The following is a 6000-nucleotide window of genomic DNA, read 5'->3' as shown; positions in this document are numbered from 1 at the left end:
CTGAGCAGCAAGAAAAATATGACTACATTTGCCAGATAAAATAGGAAATCTCTGCAGCTGGAGTACTTCTGTGTCAGTCTACTCATCACATAACCAAATGTCTCAACTTAAACTGAATGTCATTGTCCAAATTCAGCCATCTCTGTTCTCATTCATAAACTACCGTTTCACAGAAAAGTGAATCACTTCATTACTTCTTAATGCAACATAACATTACACTTTTAATTCAAAACAGTGCTCTAATAAACAGGAAACATAAAGGTTCCGAGTGAGATTTTCAAGATACTGGAATCAACATTTAAAATATATTTATAGGCCTGGTGTGGTGGCTCACGCCTGTAATGCCAACACTTTGGGAGGCTGAGGCGGATCACTTGAGGTCAGGAGTTCAAGACCAGCCTGGCCAACAGGGCGAAACCCCATCTCTACTAAAAATACAAAAACTAGCCAGGCGTAGTGGCGCACACCTATAATCCCAGCTACTTGGGAGGCTGAGGCAGAAGAATCACTTGAACCTGGGAGGCAGAGGTTGCAGTGAGCCAAGACTGTGCCACTGCACTCCAGCCTGTGCGACAGAGCGAGACTCTGTCTCAAAAATCAAATAAAATAAATTTATAATAACTACAAATGATGACGTTTTTAAAAGGCCACATCTGCAAAAGAAGAGAAATACTGTGCTTGAATGCGATCCTTTACTTCCAACAGTTGATGGGTCAGAATGAATCAACCCCTTGCCTTGCAGATACACAACTGAAAAGCAGCATGAGGTGCTCTAGGCATAGCTGGATGAATGGGACTTAAAGATCACATCTAATCATTTAGTGTAAGATACTCGCTCAGGACAGTGAGAGACCAAGCACTGGGGAAACAGGGCTAGTTCAGGGTTTTACTCCCACACTGATGATCTTTTATAGGCCATATGCAAATCACTCAGTCTTTTCAAATGTGATTCAGAATGCTGACTGTCACTCAGGAATCAGAGTTCTTCTGCAAGATAAGGAAATATCCATCAAATCAGCCATGGTCTTCAGGAAATACATTACAAAGCGTGGAACACTATTTGTCAGGGGTATACAAGAGAAGTCATGAGATCCAGTGGGCCATATGATGGCTGACCCTTTGTTTCATTTAACAGGTAATAACAAAATAACTAAAGACAGAATAAAGAAAAATTATCTTTGTAACTTAGTATCTTGAGTTCTATCATCAAAACTTGTAAAACTTCCCTGTTACTCCTTCAGTTAAGCACACACAGTTACATTAAGTTATATAAATACAGGCAGAGGATACAAATCCATTTTCTTTCATCTTAGATATCCAAATAAGTGAGATGTGGAACTATTTTTTTATCAAGTAGATAATGTTTTATCAATAGCTGTAAACCATTTTTGTAAACTGTCTTTCAGCTGAGAAAACAATACACTGCTTCTGTCATATTGGAAAAGGAATGATCTCAAGGTTTCCAAGCAACACAGCAATTTTTCAAAGCTGAACTCCCCTGCTGATCATTAGAAATAGTTTCAAATGTCCTATTCTTGGCCTTCATTTGTGCCAAACCCTGGACAAGGCTGCAACAAGATTATAGTTCCAAACCATCCCATCTCTGCACGGGGTGCTAAGCAGTCCCTCTTCCCTTTCTCTTAGTGCCACACCATCATCCACATTCACTTCGGGTCTCTCCTGAATCAAGCTGTGCTTATGTTTTATAGAGGAAATGTGAAATCAAAGTTGTTTTGCTTCATCTCCTGCAGGGTAACTCCGTCAGATGCATTGCTTTGACTGCATGCTGTCCTACGTTTAGAAGCGCTGTGGTCTAAACCCTGTCGTGAGTCAAGGTGTGGCACGCACGGGGCAGGTGGCGATTACGGCCCAAGAAGGCCCAGTGCTGGGTCGATACACTCAACACTGTGATCATCTTTTGTTGGTGGGTATTTGCAGAATGCATTGAACAAATTAAAGGAGGGTAAGAAATGGCTTATCTGGTGACAATGGAGAGTGGTATTGTTTTCCACATCATCATATTCTTAAACAACTCCCAGCGATCTAAAATGCTGATGAAGGAAGGATAGAGTTTTATTTATTTTCACCAAATAGCTGGACATATTAAAAACTTAAGGTAGACTGGAAATAAAATACAACTCCAACATGTTTTAAATCAGATTTGATTTTTTTAATTCAAATTGACCCAAAGCAAAACTTACATTAAAAAGGAAGAACAAAATACATTATGATATAACACACTAGGAGTTACATGAAAGCTAAATTTGTGGGCAAATGGCCTTATCCCAATCACATTCTGGGCTCATGAGCACTCCTGCAGGAAAGTTAGAATCTCAATTTCGTATGGTCCACGCCGGTCATTAAACTACACATTCTTGTCTCTTGGGGTGTGCATCTGACGAGTCATGCTAGAGTCCCTCATGCTCCAGATGTGTACTCTTGCTACTGCCAGAACGCTGGATTCTCTAGTGGAAATGCTGTTCCAAGCATGACTGACAATGAATTAAAAAATGAGACAGTCAAGTCCTCCAAACTAACAGGCATGGATTACTGTGTAGTAAATAGTTTAGAAATATGGGAATTAAATAATCTAAAAAACACTCTTACTCTGCTGTACATTTATAAACACAAATATTTACAAAAAAAAAAAAACACAAAACCTTGTTTTCGAAAGATGAGGTTTGCAGTTCATTAATGATCATAATCTTTTGTAAGCTGGTTTCTTTGGTGTATTTGCCAAATATATTTTTATAAAGGTTTAGTAATAGGCTTAAATAATAAATTTCAAAGGAAACATAAAAGAATCTGACAAATTTGAAAATATTCTGAACATTTTCTGTTCTGTTTCTGGAAAAAACAATCGGTTGATTTTTCTGAAAATATCTGTTCTCCCTATTCATTATGTGACCATGGAATGCTTCTCTGTGAATCCAATTCAAATGCAGACCTGCAGGTGTCACCACTATCATCTACCAGTAACCCACCTGGAGACATTTTAGTTATTGTGAAATGTGATTGGGATTTTATTAACAACAAAAATAAAACATTCTTTTTAAGCTTCCAGATAAATCAAACCTCAAACAATAAATAATGGAATTATACACTTCTTCATTAAATAGAAATTTCAAAATTCCAGGAAGAGCTCTCATAATTTTTTTTTTCTGAAGTCACAGCAGCAATACAGAACAAAGAATTTACCTTAATCTGATCTTTTTACGTGGAATTCCCTGACTCAAACTCAGTGGCTTAGTTTGGAAACCTCTGAATGGCTGGGGAGAGAAAATCTTTTGAAACTAAGTGAATAAATTAACACACACATACGTGGAAATCAGCCCTTGTGCAAGTGTAACATGAACATCACTGATGAGAGTGCAGAAACTCCAGGCACCCCTCTGCCTCCTCCTATCCCTGGGCCTGGGGTTGTAGGGAGAAGTCACACTCAATTCATTTCTAGCCACACCATGTCCCTAACAGTGCTAGTGTGAACTAGCCCTGACCTGGGTATTGGTTTAAAGAATGAGAATACAGCTTGGCAACTGTCTTCATAAGGGACTCTCTCTGGAGATAACTTTTTGGAACATTTTTATGGGGAAGAGGACAGACTACCCGTTCCTATCCATCAGGCTCCAGCTAGTTTGGGGATGGTTATAGAACTGGCCACACTCAGAGTGGCTGCCTGCGAAAGAGTCTATGCCAAAGAGTCTATGGGCCACACCAGCAATCTCCCGAATAATCCTCTTCTCTGAAGCTGCCCGTCTTCGGAAACCTGTGCAATGCTTAGGCACAAGCAGATCAGAGTCTAAGAGCAAACGCTGTGCTTGAGAAAACAGCACTGCTGGCTCTGAAAAAGGTGAAGCCAGAGAAAACTCCTAGTTCTGCTTAGTTACACTTCTGGGTGAAACAGTTTTACACTTCATGACTTAAATCTAGAAATTCAGACGAGAGAAGCCCTTCGTCTTGTAAACTTCTGATAACAAATTTATTAACAGTGTGTTAAATATTTTTTCCCAAAGCACTAAGAACGATACTGGGACATTTGAAAAGGTTCTTCTGAAGTTAATAACACAAATCAAGCCAGAATACGTTTCTGAGGGCATCCTCTTAGATGCCTAATGCCTCTGGGACCTTTTCCATTGTTACTGACACTTTATCATATCCGTGTTTACACGGCAAACATATGCCCAATCAACCCAGAAAATAATTGTCCTGAAGAGCCTCACTGTATATAACCTTAAAATGGGAAATGTTTAATTAGCATATTAGAAATTAGCCAGACTTATAAATGTGTACCCCTTAAAGATTTTACGCTTAAAAAGTTTTTTTTTTAAACTGGGAAGAAAAGAAACACCATGAAGCCACCCCAAATTATTGAACCATTAAAGCCAAATGATTTAACAATTTTTAAGGGAAGACTCGACCACCAGGGTACAAAATTTTCTGCTTAAAGTGAAGTCAAAGACATAGCTTCAGATGGAAATTGCAACTGACATACGATGGCTCTGCAGTGACAACTGAAGCGGCGGCTCCTGTCCTCACGGGCATGTCAAAGCTGGCTGTGAAATGACGACCAGCAAGTGAAATAATGGATAAAATACACCAGAAGGAGTATTGCACTGCAGGCACAGTTTTAAAAACAGAATACACTGGCTTCACAAAGTTATTTTCTTTCCCGTTAATTTTTTTAAAAGTACAACTCTAACTAGAGATAGAAATCGAGATGCAGTGTCTCAGGGTAGTGTACTACAGTTGTTAAAAAAAAAATAAGTTAAAAACAAGAGCACAGCAAAAGAAAAGCAGAGGTACTGGATTTATGTCATAAGCAGAGATACTGGATTTATGTCATCCGAAAGCTACATTAATTAGGAAAAAGAACAGTTTGAAACGGCCAGTTTGTACTCATTAAAAATGAATGAGGTGACAGCGTTACTTCAAACATTTCTTAGGGCATTTTCCAAAAGAACCCAGGGTCGCCCTGGGTGAAACTGTGCCTCCAAACGTTAACAAGTGCTCTGCTGGTTTAGAATACCGTGCTTACCAAGGAACCATAAATTTGGAAAGGGTAAATTCTCCACTCTAAACCTGCTTGTGTCATTTAAGAAAAGACAATTTTTCTAAATGCAGTATTGTATACAAAGCTTGGACCTCTTAAACTTGGACCAAGAAACCAAATTAAGACCTTCAAGCATGTGGTGTGTGTTTTTATATATATATAAAAAATCCCTCCCCTACAATGAAAACCAACCAAACAAACAGAAAACCCAAAAGTGTATACCTGCTTTCTGATTTCACAGCAAATCAGAAATTGCATAGGATATACTTTGTGCAAGGCAAAAAGCCTTTTAAGTATCTAGAATAGAACTCCTAATCTTGCTCACAGTTCTGGCATATCAGATATCATCAAATTTGTGTTTTAAGTAGTCTTTCATGACCTTGGCAATTGGTAGTTCATCAAGTAGCTTTAGGTTTTGAAGGCCTATACATTGTCGAATTTTAATTCGGCACAGGTCCTGCAAGTTTCTGGGCTGTCCTAAAAAGACAGAAAAAAGAAAATGTTACAAAGCCACAAAGCACAATATTTAAGGCACTTTTGAAAAGAACTGTTCATTTCCCTGGAAGTTCTCTCTATGGACTTGACATGCAAAGGACCGGAAAGATACCAACTCAAAGTGTCCTAGGACCTTCATGCGATGCCTTATTTGATCCTTTTCACAACCGTGGGATGGTGGATATTTTCAACTCCATTTTACCAATAAGAAAACTGAGTATCAGATGTAAACAAGTTGCTTAATATCAGACAACCAATTAAGGCTTTCAACTGAGACCAAAAACAGTTTTGATTCTAAGCCTCATATCCTTTCTGTTATAAATCAGGAAAATTCTGGTTCTCGTCCTGACTAGGTCTCTCTCACGCTGGGTGAGCCACTGTGAGCCAATCATTCCTCTGAGCCTTGGCTTCTCAATCTGAAAAGTGTGGGGACTGAAAGAGATGTCCCCTATTGT

At 38.9% G+C, this 6000-nt stretch overlaps 1 protein-coding gene across 1 annotated transcript in view; it reads right to left on the bottom strand.

Moving 5' to 3' along the window:
• Positions 1-2148: 2148 nt before the first annotated feature.
• Positions 2149-6000, bottom strand: part of ASB7 (ankyrin repeat and SOCS box containing 7) — a 49113-nt gene continuing 45261 nt past the window's right edge. The window contains exon 6 of the mRNA NM_198243.3: positions 2149-5527. Within this exon, the coding sequence (NP_937886.1) occupies positions 5388-5527 (140 nt within the window). The 3' untranslated portion in view covers positions 2149-5387. The remainder of the gene's footprint in view (positions 5528-6000) is intronic.

Source organism: Homo sapiens, chromosome 15, assembly GCF_000001405.40.
Source record: "Homo sapiens chromosome 15, GRCh38.p14 Primary Assembly".
Lineage (NCBI taxonomy): Eukaryota > Metazoa > Chordata > Mammalia > Primates > Hominidae > Homo > Homo sapiens.
Note: the sequence above shows the minus strand (reverse complement) of the source record. Positions and strands in the feature narration are given on the sequence as shown.